At 46.6% G+C, this 19877-nt stretch overlaps 1 long non-coding RNA gene across 1 annotated transcript, besides 4 other annotated features; it reads right to left on the bottom strand.

The window, feature by feature from the left end:
* Positions 1-900: 900 nt before the first annotated feature.
* On the bottom strand, positions 901-17022 carry LOC105371269 (uncharacterized). The gene is made up of 8 exons (XR_933588.4): positions 16796-17022; positions 15746-15905; positions 11290-11345; positions 4987-5160; positions 4829-4885; positions 3448-3517; positions 2047-2251; positions 901-1721 (listed from the first exon to the last, which is right to left on the bottom strand). It is a non-coding gene; the product is annotated as an uncharacterized LOC105371269 (long non-coding RNA).
* Positions 3478-3979: an enhancer, noted in NCBI's record as "NANOG hESC enhancer chr16:53580827-53581328 (GRCh37/hg19 assembly coordinates)". NCBI's record gives its function as "activates a minimal SCP1, AML or CMV promoter by ChIP-STARR-seq in primed H9 embryonic stem cells {active_cell/tissue: H9 hESC(primed)}" and the evidence as "EXISTENCE:reporter gene assay evidence [ECO:0000049][PMID:30033119]".
* Positions 3537-3716: a silencer, noted in NCBI's record as "silent region_7501". NCBI's record gives its function as "represses an Ori minimal core promoter by ATAC-STARR-seq in GM12878 lymphoblastoid cells {active_cell/tissue: GM12878}" and the evidence as "EXISTENCE:reporter gene assay evidence [ECO:0000049][PMID:35858748]".
* Positions 17394-18016: an enhancer, noted in NCBI's record as "OCT4-NANOG-H3K27ac hESC enhancer chr16:53594743-53595365 (GRCh37/hg19 assembly coordinates)". NCBI's record gives its function as "activates a minimal SCP1, AML or CMV promoter by ChIP-STARR-seq in naive H9 embryonic stem cells {active_cell/tissue: H9 hESC(naive)}" and the evidence as "EXISTENCE:reporter gene assay evidence [ECO:0000049][PMID:30033119]".
* Positions 18017-18639: an enhancer, noted in NCBI's record as "OCT4-NANOG-H3K27ac hESC enhancer chr16:53595366-53595988 (GRCh37/hg19 assembly coordinates)". NCBI's record gives its function as "activates a minimal SCP1, AML or CMV promoter by ChIP-STARR-seq in naive H9 embryonic stem cells {active_cell/tissue: H9 hESC(naive)}" and the evidence as "EXISTENCE:reporter gene assay evidence [ECO:0000049][PMID:30033119]".

The raw sequence follows: 19877 nt of genomic DNA on the forward strand, positions 1-19877 counted from the left end.
CTGCTAAGTTTCCACGAACATTTATGAGCTTGTTGTGGGCTGCTTGGTGGGAAAAGTGTCAGGGAAATATTACAGGGAGTGTTAAGAGAGAGTTCCTATTCAGGAGTTGCCCCTGACTCGCTGTGTAACTGAGCAGCTGATGTCTCTCTGGGCCTCAGTTTCTTTATCTGTAAAAGGGCTGCGAAAGGTCTCTGAGACCCCTTTTTGCTCTGGGAAGCCAAAGGTGATCTGTGAATAGTTTTTCTAACTTAAAAGCAACGTGTCAGGTGCAGTGGTTCATGCCTGTAATCCCAGTGCTTTGGGAGGCCAAGGTGGGCAGATCACTTGAGGTCAGGAGTTCGAGACCAGCCTGTCCAACATGGTAAAACCCTGTCTCTACGAAAAATACAAAAAAATTAGCCAGGCATGGTGGCACATGCCTGTAATCCCAGCTACTTGGGAGGCTGAGGCAGGAGAATTGCTTGAACCCGGGAGGTGAAGGTTGCAGTGGGCCGAGATCGCACCACTGCATTCCAGCCTGGGCAACAGAACGAGACTCTGCCTCAAAAAAAAAAAAAAAAAAAAAAAGCAATGTAACCTCTCCATCCCACCCAAATATTGAAAAGAAGGACCCATCTCCTTTCCCAAATTAAGCAGCAGTTGTCTTTCTAATTATAACTTTGATTCTGCTCTGAAATCGGCAGAGCAGCTTCAAACTTTAGGATCTCTCACTGAGGATCCTAAAGTTATGAGTTATCTAACTCCAATGTCTTAGTCATTAAAGTGCCAGCGAATTATGTGTATGTGAATCAAAGCATACTTTTGGGTTTAAGACTAAAAGGTTCGAATATCTGGGGTGTGTGTGTAAGAAAAACGACGAATATCAGCCATTAGAAAAATCAGCTCACTTTGAGACCTCCATGCCATTATTGCCTCCTTTAATATTGCTGACAGTCTCTTGCAAATGTATCACAAGTTGGCATTTATTAGTGCGAGGCACAAGTAAGGGGCATGTTATTTGATTTGAATAACAGCTTGGAGCTACAGTTTGAGTCCAGAAATATATTAGTCAGAAACAATCTCATTTAATAACACAGAAACTAATAAAAGAAAAGTATTCCAACTGATTCAGAATTGAATTTATGAATATTGCTTTAGCAGGATTAATGATCAAAACCCCAACCTGTTTGTCACGTTATAACTGACTTTTCCATTTAAATGCAAAACCAGAAGTCAATGAGTCCAAAAGATTGTATATTGCTTTGAAGAAAACCAGTTCATTTTACATGTAAGCTTCCAAATTGGCAATAAACTTTAATTACAGGGTCAGATAATCAAATTATAATCAAATAGCCTCACATAAAAATCTATGTTTGAAATTAACAAGACACAAGCCTGCCACTTGGTATCATTGCACCTCTGTAACTTACTAACAGACATTTCATTTTCATTTAAAAGTCACCTTAAGGACTTTCTCCTCAATTTCCACCGTGTAGCTTAATTTTATTTAGAAAACATTTCATTCTTAGACCATGCAGTCCTTCAGATTTTCATATTCAGCTCTACATTCCCCCGCCCCTTCTCACCTTGGGGAGGTCTGTTTTACAATTGATGATGGGATTTCCAAATTGGGATGATTGTAACCCTTTCCAACTGAGAGGTGTCTATACTGGGAAGAACCCTTGATCTGGTGTCAGGTATCATTGGACAGAGGCAGCATCCACACCATGGGACTGAGTGGCCTGGAAAATTTTGCCAGAGGAAAAAAATGTGTATAGCAAGCTTGTCCAACCTGTGGCACAGGATGGCTTTGAATGCAGCCCAAAAGAAATTTGTAAACTTTCTTAAAACATTATGAGACTTTTTTTGCAATTTTTTTTCTTTCTTTCTTTTCTTTTTTTAGCTTATCAACTATTGTTAGTGTTAGTGTATTTTATGTGTGGCCCAAGACAATTCTTCTTCCAATGTGGCCCAGGGAAGCCAAAGATTGGACACCCCTGGTGTATAGCTTAGAAATACTTAAGTTATTTTGAAATCAGCAAATGCATTGGCAAATGAATGGCATACCTGCTTCACTGTCTCATGAGATCCGAACAAGCAGAATGCGAAGTAATGCTTCAAAACCTCTTTTTATCTTTAAAAGTGGTTTCTTTGTCTTCTTCAGTAACAGCAGCGTTTTTTGTCGGCATGATGAAGAGCCGGCTGCCGAGCTTCCTCTTCCTGGCAAGCAGGCGAGTGGTGGCCACATGAAAAGAATGAGGAGCTGAGCAGCCTGCGGAGGGGAATCTAAGATGTGCACACTTCTACCATGGCACACTTTCTTCCTCTAAGGATTATACTTTTCTCCTAGCTCTCCCATAGAATAAAATAAATGGAGTGCAAAGCATCCGACAGGGTCACCAGATAAAAATATATTTTTTGTATATCCCAAATATTGCATGGGATATACTAAAAATAAACATCATTCCTTGTTTATCTGAAATACAAATTTAAGTGGACATCCTATATTTTTATTAGCTAAACTGGCAATCCTGGCCTGCAATAAGAATGGCAATAAATGCTTCTTTAAGTGTTCAGAGCTTGACATCTTCTGAAGCATTGAAGGATTTCATGGTGATTAACTTAACATTTCCCAAACTTGCCAATGATCACCCAATCATAAGAATCAGCTGGGAGCCTTATAAAACTATAGATGCCCAGCCGGCATGCTGGCTTACACCTGTAATCCCAGTACTTTGGGAGGCCGAGGCGGGTGAATCGCCTGAGGTCAGGAGTTCGAGACCAGCCTGGCCAACATGATGAAACCCCATCTCTACTAAAAAATACAAAAAATTAGCTGGGCGTCGTGGCGGGTGCCTGTAATCCCAGCTACTCGGGAGGCTGAGGCAGGAGAATCACTTGAACCTGGGAGGCAGAGGTTGCAGCAAGCCGAGATTGTGCCACTGCATTCCAGGCTGGCCAACAAGAGCGAAACTCCATCTCAAAATAAATAAATAAAACTACAGATGCCCAGGCCCATCCTACAATTACTTATTCAGTAAGACCAGGGTTTAGGCTGGAAGTCTGTATTTGGACAAGTTTCCCAGGTGCTTCTTGGCATCAGAAAAGTCTGGAAAACACTGCAAATATTGCAAATATCTCTTGTCTTGTCACTGCATCCCTGAGAAGCAAGTGGTGATGGGGTTTGAGAGTTGGGGCAAAATTATTAACTTTCACTTCCAGCTGGGGAAATAATGGCTTAGAAAAGTGCTCAGCTGTATTTGTAACTTGGACCGACTGAAATGCCAGCCTCAAAATATTTTATTTCATTGCCACATAAAGTAAAAGATCATATGGTTAAGAGATGGACAGACAGGAGGCATCTGACCCTGTAAGTTACTTCTATCAGCATAATTATGATCTTTGCTGTGTTGTCTGGTGTGCTCAAGGGTCCCACTGTGAGCTATTAAAGAATGAGGTATTGATTACCTCTGCCTTGGGTTTTTTATCTGCAGTAAGGAGATCCTCCCTGCCTCAAGCTTTCTCCATGTTTTTAACCCTGGAACAAAAAAAATAGAGTGCGGTGGACCAAAAACCCATGAGAAGTTCCATCCATCAGTGCATGGAGGGTGGAGGGAAGGTGCTATGCAGGTGAGCAACTCTGTCCCCTGGCGGCCACTTTAGCCCCTGTCCCATTGAACATCCATGGGCCCCAGACACACAGGGAAGGCGGGGACAAGTAGGAAAAACAGAACTCCCAAGACAGTCATTTGCACTCTCAGCATGACACACGTGCATTAAAGGGAAACTGCAAGGATGTCAGGGTGATGAGAACATTCAATACAAACAGAGAGGCCCCAGGGTTATGTCCACCCTCCCCCACTCTGCGCAGTTACTGCCAGGGCAGGAAAACTGGGTTTCAAGTCAACAATTTGTCTCCTTCTCCTGAGAGGTGTTTGCCTGCAGAAAGATGAATCAGAGAAAAGATTGAGGTCTGATTTCACCCTCCATGTTCTGCCTTACCATGGCCAAGCACGCAAGGGAACACATGGTGGGAAATTGTTTCTTCCCAAGAGACTCCAGCCTCTAGTAGGAGCCCTGCTGCTGGTTCCCCTTATGCAGTTGAGTGTCTTCTTGCTCTCTAACAACTAAGGCAGTCACATTTTACTTCTGTAGTTAAGTCACCCTCTTTTAAAATGATCACTGAGCCAGTAGGCAGAAAGGCAGCTTACACCCACCTCTTACCGTGACCATGACCTTGGGCAGCCCTTGTCTCTGCCTCAACTTCCAATAACGCTAGTTACATTAGGTGCTAACTTTATGGGATTCTCTGCCGACATTCTTCCTTTGTGTGTGACTGATGGGACATTGTCTACTAGGCACACAGTAAAATCAAAGCTTCTCTTTCCAAAATTAACCCAAAACTGACTTTTGCTGTGCAATCATACTCTTGTAAAATCTGCTTTTCATATCCCTTGAGTTGTTGCCACAACTCTATATAAACATATGGAAAATGTTTCAGTTCCAAAGAAAAAAGCTCAAGTCTTCCCTAAGTCAGTGTATTGAGTCCTTAGACCACATCTCACATCTGAGAGGGGCCAGGGTTTTTTCTAACACCCACTGGATGTAGTTACCACAGCTCTGTGACCTCAGAGGAACCCAGCTTCACCTTATAAGACATGGAGGAGAGGAAAGGGCAAAGTATCTGTGGGCACAAACTGTGGACAGAATGTGGGAACAGGAAAAATAAGCCAGGGGTGATATTAACCATGACAAGTGGTGAGGTTTGGGTGATGAAGATACATTAAAATAATCCTGTCTTTCTTAATCTCCTGAGCCCTTGGTAATGCTCTATTGACTAAATACTTACCAGGTTAAAAACATGTCTTGCTTCCTGCTTTCCTGGAGGCACTCCAGTCTAAATCATCTACAAGGTAAAGAATTTATCAAAAACCATTCTGATAACTTTGACTACCTCCAGCTGGGATGCCCTGCAAAGCTTCCCGAACACCAAGGATCACCACTTACCATCACACTCTTTCTGGAACTGTGAATGCTCTGGGCTCCTGAAGTTAGATTTTGGTTTCAGATGCGATGTTAAATTCTAGGAGGTTGACCCTGGATGGCAACTTGATATATGTCTCAGAGGCCTTGAAGGTACATGCCCTCTTTGATCCAGAAGTTCCAGAGCTAAGAGTGTATCTTAAGAAATGTCATCAGTACAAACCTTATCATTGTTAAAAGTCAGTAATCATGTGTGGCATAAGTAAATTATGGTATGCTCATATGAAAGAATACTCTGTAGCCATTCAAAATCATATAGAGGAATATGCAGTGACATGAAAGAAAGTTCCTCTCCTATGGGTTAATGAAAATTATAGTACCATGTAAAGTTAACAGTGGTCATCTTTGGTTGATAGGATTATAACTGAGATTTTTAAATTCCTTTTTGTCTTGTTTTCCAAATTTTCTGCACAAAGCAAATATTATTTATTTATTTTCAGCGACAGGGTCTTGCTCTGTTGCCCAGGCTGGAGTGCAGTGGTGTGATCATAGCTCACTACAATCTTGAACTCCTGGGCTCAAGCAATCCTTCCGCCTCAGCCTCCCAAATAGCTGGGACTACAGGCATGTGCCATCACACCCAGCTATTTAAAAATATTTTTTGGTAGAGACAGGGTCTTACTATGTTGCCTGGGCTGATCTCAAACTCCTGGGCTAAAGGGATCCTCCCACCCAAACCTCCCAAAGTGTTGGGATTACAGGCATGAGCCACTGCACCCAGGCTGTTGGTGCAGTGGTGTGATCTTGGCTCACTGCAGCCTCAACCTCCCAGGCTCAAGCGATCCGCCCACCTCAGCCTCCCAAGTAGTTGGGACTACAGGTGTGCGCCACCACACATGGCTAATTTTTGTATTTTTGTAGAGATGGGGCTCTCCCGATGTTGCCCAGGAAGGTCTTGAACTACTGGGTGCAAGCAATCTGCCCACCTCGATCCCCGAAAATGCTGGGATTACCGCACCTGACTTCAGCTGGTAACTTTTTAAGTAGGAAAAAACTAATTCCACTTCTGAGTAGGAAAAAAATAATAGAACAGGATAAAAATCTTACTGGCCTTTATGGGACTGACTTCCAGCTTCCACTTTGTCATGAAAAGATTCTATGTTCCTTGTGTTTCTAACTTGTCCCAAACACTATATTCACAGGTTGTCTCGGTTCTTCCTCTCTCACTATTCCTGTGGAAATGTTCCAGACATAAAGGACAAGTAGCAAAAATACCCTCTGATGAGTAAATAATAGGATGCATTCAGATCTGACTTAATTATTGCACTTAACACAGAGCCAGACACGCAGTAGGTGCTAATTAGCTGTTGAATGAATGAAAGAAAATGCAATCTTAGTATTTTAAGGGCTTTTATTTTTTCCATTGTTAAAATAGGGAAAATGTGTTAAAAAAAAAAAAGACATTTAACTCAATTCATAACAAACAGTGGTTTAAAATAGAAATTCCAAACCAATTTTGGCTAAAAGGATGCTAGTATATTCTGAACAGCTGCTGTTGTAGACACAGTCTGAAATAAATAACTTCCAGTGTGGTTCCAAGTCTGTGTTGAATAAACAGCACAGATACAGGAACGAGCTTTATTAGCGTTAATTGCAATGAGTCTGCGCAGCTCAAAGGCCGGATTCTTGCTCACGGCGAAATCTAGCAGTGATGATCCTTCCTCCGGCTGTAGATGGAGCCATAACATTACTAAATACGATCCCAGCACGTGCGTTGGGGGTTTTGTGCTGTAAAAGCCAGATGTTTGGAACTTTTCTGGCTTTAGTTTCTGAGTGTGAACAACCAGAAAACTCAGACCTCTATTTTCTCTGACGCTGACTGGGCTTGGAGAAGCCAAGAGACTCGCTGGGGTGGCTTCAGCTTTCATTCTCCCAGCAATTATCACCTCCTCTCACCTTCTTCTCTGACAATTTCTCTGCTTGAGGGCATCCCGGGGCTGTCAGTCCTGCCTCAGCTGGTGACTTTGTTTAGAAAAATCAGACCTGAATCCAACTTTTCCTCCCATTCTCTTGCCTTCTTTTCACAAAAGCCACTCACAAGCAAGGCGCCTGGGGCTCTCCAGACTTCCTGGGCCAGAGAAGTTCAGGATGGGTTTTCACACCCACAAACGGGGGCCTCTGCGAGCTGGGCGGGCGCAAACTCCACTGTCTCCCCACATCTGTTCTTTCTCCCCCTTCCTGCTCCATCTCTCCTCTTTCTGCACCACCCCAACCTCCCTCACTTCTTTCTTCCCCGTCTCCTCCCTCTTCTCTTCCCCCCTCCTCCACACACACAGCCCTGTAGCCAGAGTCTTGAGACAAAGGCCGTTTCTACATGTGTCTCTGCATGACTCCCCACTGGCCTGCGGCATCTCATCGTGTCACTCCTTCCTCCAAAATATTCCACAGCTTCCTCCCTGCCCTCATTCTGGGGAAGTCCAACCTCCTTGGTTGAGGTTCTAGGGTATAGATCTCCCTTCTGCCTTCCCCAATCCCAGGCTGGGGAGATGAGGCCGACCCAAGCTACCCTGATGCTTCATGCCTCGGGTCCCATTCCTCCTCCACCAGCTGAGATTTTACTCATCTCCCGAGGCCAGGTTACATGCCCCTGCCTCCTTCAAGCAGCCCTCTTTGCTTGCCTCCGGTGGGAATTTCTTTCTCTCTCCTATGGAAGGACTTTGTGATGGCACTTGATGGCATTCTAGATTCGCCTTGGATTCTGATTACTTGGGTGCACATCTGGGTGATGAAATGACGATTTGAAGGTTTCCCCATATGTCCTTCTGCACTGCAGTCTTTCCCGTTCACTCAGCGCATTCTTGCGAGGCTCACTGTTACAAGAGAAGGGAGCAAGGAATTTATACCATGGACAAAGTCTTCTCTTCCCTGGCCTTGGAGCTGCCAAAGTGACTCCATATAGCTTTAGGTGACTGTGTGCCTTGAAAGAGGATGTCGGGCCTGGTGCAGTGGCTCACGCCTATAATTCCAGCACTTTGGGAGGCCGAGGCAGGCAGATCGCTTGAGGTCAGGAGTTCAAGACCAGCCTGGCCAACATGGTGAAACCCTGTCTCTACTAAAAATACAAAAATTAACTGGGCATGGTGCCGTACACCTGTAATCCCAGTTACTGGGGAGGCTGAGACTGGAGAATTGCTTGAACCCGGGAGGCAGAGGTTGTAGTGAGCTGAGATCACACCAGTGCGCTCTAGCCGAGGCAACAGAGTGAGACCCTATCTCAAAAAAAAAAAAAAAAAAAAAAAAGAAAGAAAAGAAAAGGAAGAGAAAAGAAAAGAAAGAGGATGTCTTCACATCCTTGGGCTGGCTAGGAGGAGGGCAGAGGGTGAGTTGAAGAGGATAGGAGTGCAGATGCTGCTGGGTCCTGGAGAAGGTGCCCTGTACATGCCCCACAGACCTAAACCTGGGGGCACTGGGTTGGGAAACCACTGATTCCCAGACAACTTTGTTGGATCTGAGTAGCAAGCTCTGGAGTCTTGCTTCCTGGGTAGGGCTTGGAGAGGTGAACAGAGTCTCGAGGCAACCCAGCTACCGGATGGGTCTGGGTAAAAAAGGCCTTAGCTTCACAGAGTTTCCATCTCCCATGCTGGCACAGAGGGACTCAGGGACACAGAGTCAGGCCTTGTAGTAGAGGCAGGAGGTCCCACCAGCCCCCATGGCCCTGGGGCTGTGATTTCTCCTTGCTGGCTGGCTTGACATCAGCTGCCAGCACCCAGGTCTGTCTGCCAGAGAGGTTTCTCTAGTTGCCAGGGCCGGCCCTGCCCAAGCATGTGGCAGGGCAAAGTGTTGAGAAATTGATGGAACAACGGCCCTAATCCAATGACCGGTGGGAGTTGGTGTATAAATACCCCAGCTCTCTCACTCCTCTTGTGGGATAACTCTGAGATGCACGCACGCTCTGCAGTGTTTTCCAGAGCTCCCCCAAGAGATTATGCTCAGCTGGCCACAGGTAACTTGCTGAATAACACTCTCTCTGCCGGCTCTTCCTTCCCTTCTCTGTCTCACACCCCTGCTCGTTTGGGGGATCACTTCCTTGTAAACTATCTCATGCTATGTATGGTTCAAACTGATACAAACTCAAAAGAGGTTCCTGGAGAGGAACCAAGAGTGCTGCCATCGGAACCCATGGGGACTGACGACAGGGTGGGAGCGGAACTCTCTCAGCTGATTTCGTCACAGACAGATAATGATTGGGACCAGCTATGCCCCAGTTCCCAGAGCTCGCATCTGGTAAGCCCTCAAAAAATCTTCAGAACAACCAGAGAGAAAGGGAATGAGGGCATGTGCTTTAAATTAAGTTGACTTGTGGAAAGAGGAAACTTGTGCTTTAAAAAATCAGAGTTTGTGGGTGCCTCCTCCATCCATTGCTCTCTTCATCTTGCCCTCTCTTTTAGCTGCTTGAGGGCAGGGAATGGGCCTGGCTCAGTCTGTGGCCTCCCATACACCAGTGTCTCCCATGGGAGTTGAGCCAAGTTCAGCCCACCTGGCAATGGGACAAGGCAGGCAGATGGTCTTAAGGAGCTGAGAGTCCCCCACCCGCCCCCGCCAGCTGACCACCAGCAAGGAGACGGGACCCCAGCCCTACACTGGCAAGGAGCTGAAATCTGCCAGCAACCTGAGTGAGCACGGAGGCGGCTTCTTCCCAGAGTCTCCAGTTAAGAACCCAGGCTGGCCAACACCTCGCTTTTGGCACTGGGGAACCCTAAGCCGAGAAGCCAGGCAAGCCCAAACAGCATTCCGACCTACAGGACTGCGAGATCATGAATGTGGGCTCTTTTAAGCCACCAAGTTTGGAGTAACTTGTTATGGCAGCAATAAGAAACTAATAAACAGGTGGTTAGGGCCAGTGAGGGCCACTATTTGTGGCAACTTTGATTAAAATATTGAAATGCAAGCTCTAGAAATGCGCTTTCTATTTCTGTCCATCCTAAAAAGCACGTAGGTCAGTTATGGAGAACTTCCTATCAGGACAGCTTACTGAGAGTAACGAATAAGGCAGGGCACAGTGGCTTGAGCCTGTAATACCAGAGCTTTGGGAGACTGAGGCAGGTGCATCCCTTGAGGCCAGGAGTTTAAGACCAGCTGGGGCAACATGGTAAGACCATCTCTACAAAAAGTAATAATTAAAAAATTTAGCAGGGCATGGTGGTGCCTGCCTGTCATCTTAGCTATTCAGGAGGCTGAGGCAAGAGGATCACTTGAGTGCTCCAAGATTGGAGGGCTGAAGGGTTAGAGTTTGAGGCTGCAGTGAGCTATGACGGTGCCACTGCACTCTAGCTTGGGCGACAGAGTGAGACTGTCTCTAAAGAAACAAACGTAAAGAAGAATGAAGAAAGTTGACTCCTTTTGGATCTTAAGGGGAGAGAGATGGCTACATATCTAAGATGGCTTTAGGTAGGTTTGGTGTGATCTGGAGGTGAGGTGGGGATGAGGTGATCACTGGGATGACTTTTGCATCGCAGAGTTTGATGAATACCACCACGACTGACTACCCAGTGGCTTTTGGCAGATGCGGGCCCTGGGATTTGCCAGGAAGTCTGGTCGTGTGCACACAGGCAGCCTTCCATGAGCATGTTTGACAGTGCCCTGTCCTGTTTGTTTCTCAGTCTGGGTGGTGTGATGGGGCCGAGGTGCAGCTTCAGGCTCACTAATGCTCTTTTGCTCCTCTTCATCCAAGCAAAGGGTACTTGGAACTCAGGTTTGGAATTTGCTTTTCCTCCTCAATAAAACTTTTCTGTTTCAACAGATTTCAAGCTAATGGTAGCTACAGCTGCCAACTGGAGCTGTTCATATGCATCCTGGGGGTTGTGGTAGGGACAGGATTTCACACTTTGATCTTTGCAATGAGGATAAATAGCATTTTCCAGTCCCCAAAATGGAGGAAGTGGGAGCTGGTTTCCTGTCCTAATCACAGAGCTCTGTGGAATCTACTTGTCTGGGATGGAAAACTCTTGTACTGAGGCTTGACTTTCATGTCTCTCACTGGTCAATATAGAAAGATGGTGAACTGGGAAAGTAACCAAATATTCTGCTTTCTGTTGTGGAGAATGTCAACCCTATACAAAGACACAGCATGGAAATAATAACTGCCATGCACCGGTTACTCAGCCCCAATGATGATCAGCTCATAGCCAGTCTCATTTCGTCTGTATCCCCACCTACTCACCTATCTTCTACATTCTTTTAAAGTGAATCCAAGACATCACATTATTTCATCCACAAATATTCAATAAAGCATATATCAATTTTATAGTTAGAAATAAAAAGAATTACCTGACTCATCCTGAAACTGCATACCCCACACTCTCCTGTAGAAGCACCAGAACAGCCTGGAAATAAAATGTAGCTCTTCATCTTTGGGGGATTTCGAAGAAACGTGTTCTCTGCCCATGTTTGTTAACAATGTTTAGGCCAGGTGCGGTGGCTCATGCCTGTAATCCCAGCACTTTGGGAGGCCGAGCTGGGCAGATCACTTGAGGCCAGGAGTTCAAGACAGCCTGGCTAACACGGTGAAACCCTGTCTCTACTAAAAATACAAAAAATTAGCTGGGTGTGGTGGCACATGCTTATAGTTCCAGCTACTCGGGAGGCTGAGGCAGGAGAATCGTTTGAACAGGGGAGGCGGAGGTATTGGTGAGCTGAGATTGCACCACTGCACTCCAGCCTGGGTGACAGAGCAAGACTCCATCTCAAAAAAAAAAAAAAACAAAAAAACAAAAAAAACAGGCTGGGCACAGTGGCTCATGCCTGTAATCACAGCATTTTGGGAGGCCAAGGCGGGTGGATCATGAGGTCAGGAGATTGAGACCATCCTGGCTAACACGGTGAAACCCCATCTCTACTAAAAATACAAAAAATTAGCAGGGCATGGTGGCAGGCGCCTGTAGTCCCAGCTACTTGGGAGGCTGAGGCAGGAGAATGGTGTGAACCCGGGAGGCGGAGCTTGCAGTGAGCCCAGATCAGGCCACTGCACTCCGGCCTGGGAGACAGCGAGACTCCGTCTCAAAAAACCAAAAAAAAAAAAGCAAAAAAACCAAAAAAAACCCCACAACAACAACAAAACAAAACAAAAAATTAGCGGGGTGCGGTGGCACATGCCTGTAGTCCCAGCTACTGGGGAGGCTGAGGCATGAGAATCTCTTGAACTCGGGAGGCAGAGGCTGCAGTGAGCCAAGATTGTGCTGCTGCACTCCAGCCTGGGTAACAGCACGAGACTCCATCTCAAAAAAAAAAAAAAAAAAGTTTAATCCAAAGGAAAGAATCTCTAACAGTGGAATTGCCAATCTCTATGGGATGGGCTGTATTTTGGAGCAGTGAATAGGGGAATATGGTCAGTTACTCCTCCGGGCAATTCCAGTCCTGGTAGGAAAATTGCAATTCATTTTCTTCCCCCAAACCTTCTTGTACCTCAAATGCAAAATCCCTTAGTAAGTACTGGGAAAATTATTTCGAATGATCTCTCAGGAGTTCACCAGCCTCTATCCCCTCGTTAAACAGTGGAAAGGTTTGGCATTCCCATGGGTACAGCATGCCATCCCCCTCATCAAATTGTGCTCAGGCAATGTCCACTGGACTCACGGCCCTATCTGTTGCCCACTGGGCTCTCTCTTCGACTTAATATCAGGCCTGAATTGTCCTCCTGCTTTGTCCATTTGGATTAGAAACCCCATGCTGTTCAACTGGGCTTACATTTTCCTTTCCCTTTTTGAAACAATAAAAATGTTTTGGAGAGATTCTGGAGTGCATTAGAGAATCATTTTCAATTTTCATGGGAGACATGTGGAAAGACTCACCTTCACCTACAGCTCATCCCCGGAGATGGTCTGGCTGACATCTGATCACTACCAAATGGAAAAGACCTTCCTGGCAGTCGGTGTTTAAGTACATCTCCCACCTTCATCCTGCATTGACCTCAGCACAGTTGGGGTTCACAGGAACGCGGGACTTTAGCTGAGGATCCAGGCCATGGAACCTTTCAGGCCTGGGGCGCCCCCTCCTCACTGAGGCTGGTGCTCACAAAAACTCTACAAAATGAGATGGGGCCTGAATTTGGGGGGTGGGGGAGGGCATGGCGATGGTGCAGGTGTTTCTTTTGGTGGACAGAGAAAGACCACCAGGATTTGTTGGATTTGGCTGTGGTACTCGTTTTTGTCCACTTGAGTTAATGGAAAAAAGCCATTAAATGCTGTCTACCAGGCGCACTATATTTTCCTTGCAAATACAAATGTAAATTACACTAGCACAGAGAGTTTTAATGGCTGAGTAAATGTTTGACCTTCAGTAAGATTCCAGAATTGAGGTGTTTGCATCATTAGAAAACATGCGCTTGCACATTGACAAGTGACAGAGGTAAAGACAGACGAGATCATTCACACGGGCGCGGAGTCACAGGGTGGGGAGCTGGAAAATTGGGTGTCTGCTCTTGAGGGGTTCATGAGCCTTTTGTATGGGGATTAGGATTAGCTGCAGAAGGGCCTGCAGTAGAGAGATTTTAAAGGAATTTTTCAAATGAAGGAAAGAATGGAAGCAGACCCTGCTCTCTGACCAGGGGGTGGGGGTGGTTTGAGAGTGTGCATACAGCAGGGATGTCTAATCTTTGGGCTTCCCTGGACCACATTGGAAGAAGAATTGTCCTGGGCCACACATAAAATACATGAGCACTAACAATAGCTGATGAGCTTAAAAATAATCACAAATAAATCTCATAATTTTTTTTTTTGAGACGGAGTCTCAGTCTGTTTCTAAGACTGGAGTGCAGAGGCATGATCTCAGCTCGCTGCAACCTCCTCCTCCTGGGTTCAAGCAATTCTCCTGCCTCAGCCTCCCGAGTAGCTGGGATTACAGGTGCACACCACCACGCCCAGCTAATTTTTGTATTTTTAGTAGAGATGGGGTTTTGCCATGTTGGCCAGGCTGGTCTCGAACTCCTGACCTCAAGTGATCCACTCACCTCAGCCTCCCAAAGTACTGAGATTACAGGGGCGAGCCACTGCACCCGGCCTGGCCAAATCACATCATGTTTTAAGAAAGTTTACGAATTTGTGTTGGGCTGCATTCAAAGCCATCCTGGGCTGCATGTGGTCCACGGGCCATGGGTTGGACAAACTTGGTGTAGAGAGAAGATAAAAAAGAGACTTAAGGTTGTCTTGGAGTGTGGGGACTCAGGAGAAGATCGTGGCAGGATGAGAGAGACAGAGGAATGACTGTTGACACATTTTGCTGTAGAAAAGCCTGGAATCTTTGGGTGTCTCCCCAGGGACTCCTGTTGAGAGGGGTCTTCTCCATTGCTCGCAGTTGCCATAGTGACACTGACTGACTGTGATGCCGATGGAAGCCTGAGGTGGTCCAGATATATTTGGGTTACAGAAGATGTGCTGGCACACCCTTCTTGAAGAAGGGAGGAGAAAAGCAAAATGCAGCCTTGGTAGATTGGAATGGTTTTCACTAAGAGATGAACTGTGGGGCCAGGCACGGTGGCTCATGCCTGTAAACCCAGCACTTTGGGAGACCGAGGTGGGCAGATCACTTGAGCCCAGGAGTTCCAGACCAGCCTAGGCAACATGGTGAAACCCTAGCTCTACAAAAAAAAAAAAAAAAAAAAAGTGGCCTGGAACGGTGGCTTGCGCCTGTAATCCCAGCACTTTGGGGTGCCAAGGTGGGTGGATCACGAGGTCAAGAGATTGAGACCATCCTGGCCAACATGGTGAAACCCCATTTCTACTAAAAATACAAAAAATTAGCCAGGCGTGGTGGCGGGTGCCTGTAGTCCCAGCTACTCGGGAGGCTGAGGCAGGAGAATCACTTGAACCCAGGAGGCAGAGCTTGCAGTGAGCCGAGATTGCACCACTGCACTCCGGTCTGGTGATGGAGTGAGACTCTGTCTCAAAAAAAAAAAAAAAAGCAAATATTAGCCGGGCATGGTGGTGCGCAGCTGTGGTCCCAGCTACTCAGGAGGCTGAGGTGGGAAGATCACTTGAACCTGGGAGGTGGAGGCTGCAGTGAACCGAGATTGTGCCACTGCACTCCAGCCTGGGTGACAGAGCCAGATACTGTCTCCAAAAGAGAAAAGAAGAAAGAAATGAACTGTGGCCTTTGGTTGGAAGAGTAGAGCCCTCTTTCCTTTCTGATGAGGAGTAGGTCACAGGCCCTCTCATCCAGCTCCTGGCACTTGGATCCAGGACCACACAGCACATTCCGAGCAGCCTTTGGAGACCTGGCCCTGTAGGAAAGCACTGGTCCTTTGGAGCTGGTTTGTCCAGCCTAGTGCTGAGCATTGTGTAGATCCAGCCAGCTATGCCAAGACACAGTATAGCACGCAGGCAGGGAAAGGGAGGTGGAGAGCAGAGCAATGAAAGACGAAGGCACATGTCAGCAAGTCCTCCATCCCTTCAGTCCCGGGGACTTGGCGGGCCAGCCAGAGTTTCCTGGCATTTGGTTCTGAAGTAGGTGAGGCCAGCTGGCTCTGGAGTTTTGTAGAGCTTATGTCAGACTGCGTATTGGGGTCTTGTTTGCTGCCTGGGAGGTGATGATGTTGGCTGGCTGAGTCCCAGCAGTTCCTTGGGGGGCCCATATGGAGGCTCTGGACCCTGATAGGTTCTTTCAAGCCAGTAAAGGAAGGGGTACAGGAAGGTAGGTCTGGGGATGGAAAGTAGAGAGGATCTAACAGCCAGAGCTGGGCTTCAGGGCTTAAGCTCGTCATTGGCTGTTGCAAGAAGGAATTCTTACTGACCTGGCGGCTAGACAGGGAACGTTGCTTCTTCCCTTCCTACTGTGAAGGATTCTGCATGCATCTTAGGCCCTTCCTTGCGGGGACGGGGCTCTTCCCCATGGGTGTGATGCGTGCTTTGAAAAGGCCTTCATGACCCCAGTAGCCCCACAAAGCCTTCTTCCTGGAAATAAAAAAAAAAAAATGCACCAAAGCCCAAGTTTAATGCAAACCCTGAAGCAGGCAGTCTTTCTGCCTCTTTATATTACTATCTCTTCAACACACTCCACTCCAGACCCGGCCTCTGGGGAGAGAGCTTGGGGTTTGCCTCTGAAGCCATGGATCTGTTTCCAGCGATGTTTGTGTACTCTTGACTCCCATTGCTCAGGCCTTAAAGGTAACTTGCATGTAAAGTTTCTCCTTCTTTGGAGCAAAGAGATCTTTTTCCAGGGGCCTCCAATTCCTCTAATGCTACCGGGAATGAAAACACCCAAGGCAACCAAGAGTGAATCACAGAGTCCTCAGCTCAGTGTCTCAGACACACTAAGACAATCTGCCACTGTCTGCCTTCTCTATGCTGAAAGATAAACACCCCACAGGCCACGAGGAAATGAGAGTGGCTGATGTCCACTGAATGCTTATCATGTGCCAGGCACTCTTCTAAGTGCCTTGCATGTCATATCTAATTTAACCCTCATAACAGTAACCACTGGAGATTGTATTTTTTATGATCCTACTCCAGGGAGGAAGAAACTGAGGCCTGGAGAGACTAACACACAGGGTTGTGCTGCAAGGGAGCAGGGATTTTTCTTTTCTATTCTTTTTCTTTTTAAAACAAAACAAAACACAGGGCCTCAGTCTGTTGCCCAGCCTGGAGTGCAGTGACACCATTACAACTCACAGCAGCCTCAAGCTCCTGGGCTCTGTAAGATTCTCCCCGGGGCCTGAAAGCTTAAGGAGATGAGTAACTCCTCCCTTCTCAGGCCCAGGCCCAAGGCGCAAGACCACTTGCTTCGGCAGCGTGTGTCAGCAAGATAGCAGAAGCGGGAGGAGAGCTGGACAGAAGACACCCACCCTCGCTGGAAGACACGGACCCCTGAAGATCGAGAAAGAGGCCATCCGGGTGCAACGTAGCAATTACGTCAGACTAGGGCACTTCCCGTTTACAGAAGACTATAAAACCTTTGCCCTGTCCTCACTTGGGGCTGACGCCATTTTAGGCCTCAGCCCGCCAGCACCCAGTGCGTCTGCTCATTAAAACGGCATGTTGCTCCACACCGCCTCGTGTTGTCTGTTGGCTCAGTCTTGGGGTTAGAACCGTTACAAGAACCGTACAGGCTCAAGCAATCTTCCTTCCTCAGCCTCCTAAGTAGCTGGGATTACAGGTGCACACCACCATGCCTGGCTAATTTTTACTTTTTTTTTTTTTTTTTTTAAATAGAGACAAGGGTCTCACTATGTTGCCCAGGCTGGAAAATCCTGACCTCAAGTGATCCTCCCACCTCAGTCTCCTAGAGTGCTGGGATTATAAGCTTAAGTCACCAAGCCTGGCCAGGGAACAAGGATTTGTCAACAGAAAAATCAAATTCTGTAAAATATTTAAAGAGGTTTATTCTGAGCCAGCATGAGTGACCACGGCCTGGAGAACAGTCTCAAGAGGCCCTGAGAAAGTGTGCCCCAGGCGGCTGGGTTACTTTGGCTTTATAAATTTTAGGGAGACAGAAGTTACAGGTAAAGACATAAATCAGTACATATAAGGTATACATTGGTTCAGCTGGAAAGGTGGGACATCTTGAAAGTGAGGGGGAGTTAGTGGGGTAGAAGGTGAGGGGGTGGTGTTTAGAGGTCATAGGTTGATTCAAAGATTTTCTTTTCTTTTTTCTTTTTTTTTTTTTGAGACAGAGTCTCGTGCTGTTGCCCAGGCTGGAGTGCAGTGGCGCAATCTTGGCTCACTGCAATCTCTGCCTCCTGGATTCAAGTCATTCTCAGCCTCCCGAGTAGCTGGGATTACAGGCGTGTGCCACCATGCCCATGATTTAAAGATTTTCTGATTGGCAATTGGTTGAAAGAGTTAAGCTTTGTCTGAAGACTTGAAATCAATGGGAAAAAATGCCTGAGTTAAGATAAGGGGGCATGTGGAGGCGAGGTTCTTGTGATGTAGATGAAGCTTCCAGGTAGCAGCCTTCAGAGAGAATAGATGGTAAATGTCTCTTTTCAGATCTTAAAAGGTGTCAGACTCTTAGGTCATCTCTCTTAGATCCAGGAAAGACCTAGAAAGAAAAGCCGTGGCTGTGTTAATGGAGATTTTCTACAGATGCATGTTTCCTCAACAGAAGATGACTTTGAGGGCCATTTCAAAAGATGTCAAAGGAATAAATTTTGTGGCAAAATATTCTGATTTCCTTCAGGGTCTGCTATCTGTCATGTGATGCTATACCAGAGTCAGGTTGGAATTTGGTATCTTATTGCCACAAAGAGTCTGTTTTGTCAGTCTTAGGATGGATCTCTATTTTAATGTTAATGCTGGTCAGCTGTGCTTAACCTCCAAAAGGGAGGGAATATATAACAAGGTGTGTCCCATCACAGCCAGGAATTCAGTTTTTCGGGTTTCTCAGGGGTCCTCTTGGCCCACAGGGGGTCCATTTAGTTGGTTGTTGTGCTTAGGATTTTATTTTTGGTTTATAGATTCCAACCCAGGCTCTTCCTGCTTCTCTCCCCACCTCAGCAAACTCAGGGGCTTTGGTTTTGTGCTGTGGAATCAGGAGCATCTTCTGGGGAGGAGTCTCAGTGTGGTGGTTAATGGGGGTCTGGGGCACCAGCATACTCAGGCAGGATGGAGTAGAACGAGATTCTTCCTGGAAGGCCTTTGGGGCTCTGGAACCAAACAACTCAGAATGAGCCACATCATAGCTGTATGCCTGTCCATAATCTCCCACTCCATTACTGTCCCCTAGGCCACCCCACTGACCCACCCCTAGCAATGATGGATGTGGCAGCTTTGAGCATCTTCACCCAGCAATTTCTCTGTGCCAGGCCCAGCTCTCAGGCCTGAGGATGAAGATGAAAAAGACACAGCTCTTACAACTGGTGACCTTAGGACCTGTGCACAGGTGACTAAATCCTGTATGTGATAGGGAGGGAGAAGAGGGTTTGCGTTAAAGTGCAGCAGTTGCTGACAGTTGGCTTTGTTGCAAAATTCCACAGAAAGAGGGTCTCCTATATTTGGAGAGAGACTTTTTTTTTTTTTTTTTTGAAACAGGATCTCATCTATCACCCAGGCTGGAATGTAGTGGGTGGAATCATGGCTCACTGTAGCCTTGACCTCCTGGGCTCAGGTGATCCTCCCCCCTCAGCCTACCAAGTAGTTGGGACTACAGGTATGTGCTACCATGCCCAGGTAATTTTTATAATTTTTTTTTGTAGAGGCGGGGTTCACCATGATGCCCAAGCTGGTCTTGAACTCCTGGGTTCAAGTGATCTGCCTACCTTGGTCTCCCAAAGTGCGGGGATTATAGACGTGAGCCACCACACACAGCCTGGAGAGACCTTTTTAATGGGCCTGCTTGACTAAGAGAGGCATATGGCCCATGGGCATGACCCAGAGGAAGAAATTTAGATAAAGAGGTGTTCAATTATGCATTATGGAAAAGAGAAAGAACCTCTGGAATTATCTGCATAGACCTTGAGATGGGGTTTGAGGTCCCGGAAAAAAAAGATAGGAGTGAAGGGTTCCTCAGTATTGTCTTATGTTATTAGAATGTTGATGAAAAGAGCCACACTCTGTAAAACATTTAAAGGGATTTATCCTGAGACAAGTATGAGGGACCAATGGCCTGTAACACGGCCCCAGGAGGTTCTGAGAACATGTACCTAGGGTGGTCAGGCTACGGCTTGGTTTTATACATTTTAGGGAGACATAAGTGGGGGTTGCTTCCAGGTCATAGGTACATTAAAAGATTTTCTACTTATTTATTTTTGAGAGGGAGTCTTGCTCTGTCCACCCAGGCTGGAGTGCAGTAGTGCAATCTTGGCTCACTGCAACCTCTGCCTCCTGGGCTCAAGCAATTCTCCTCCCTCAGTCTCCCAAGTAACTGGGATTACAGACACCCACCACCACACCTGGCTAATTTTTATATTTTTAGTAGAGACGGGGTTT

This window comes from Homo sapiens, chromosome 16 (assembly GCF_000001405.40).
Source record: "Homo sapiens chromosome 16, GRCh38.p14 Primary Assembly".
NCBI classification, from domain to species: domain Eukaryota; kingdom Metazoa; phylum Chordata; class Mammalia; order Primates; family Hominidae; genus Homo; species Homo sapiens.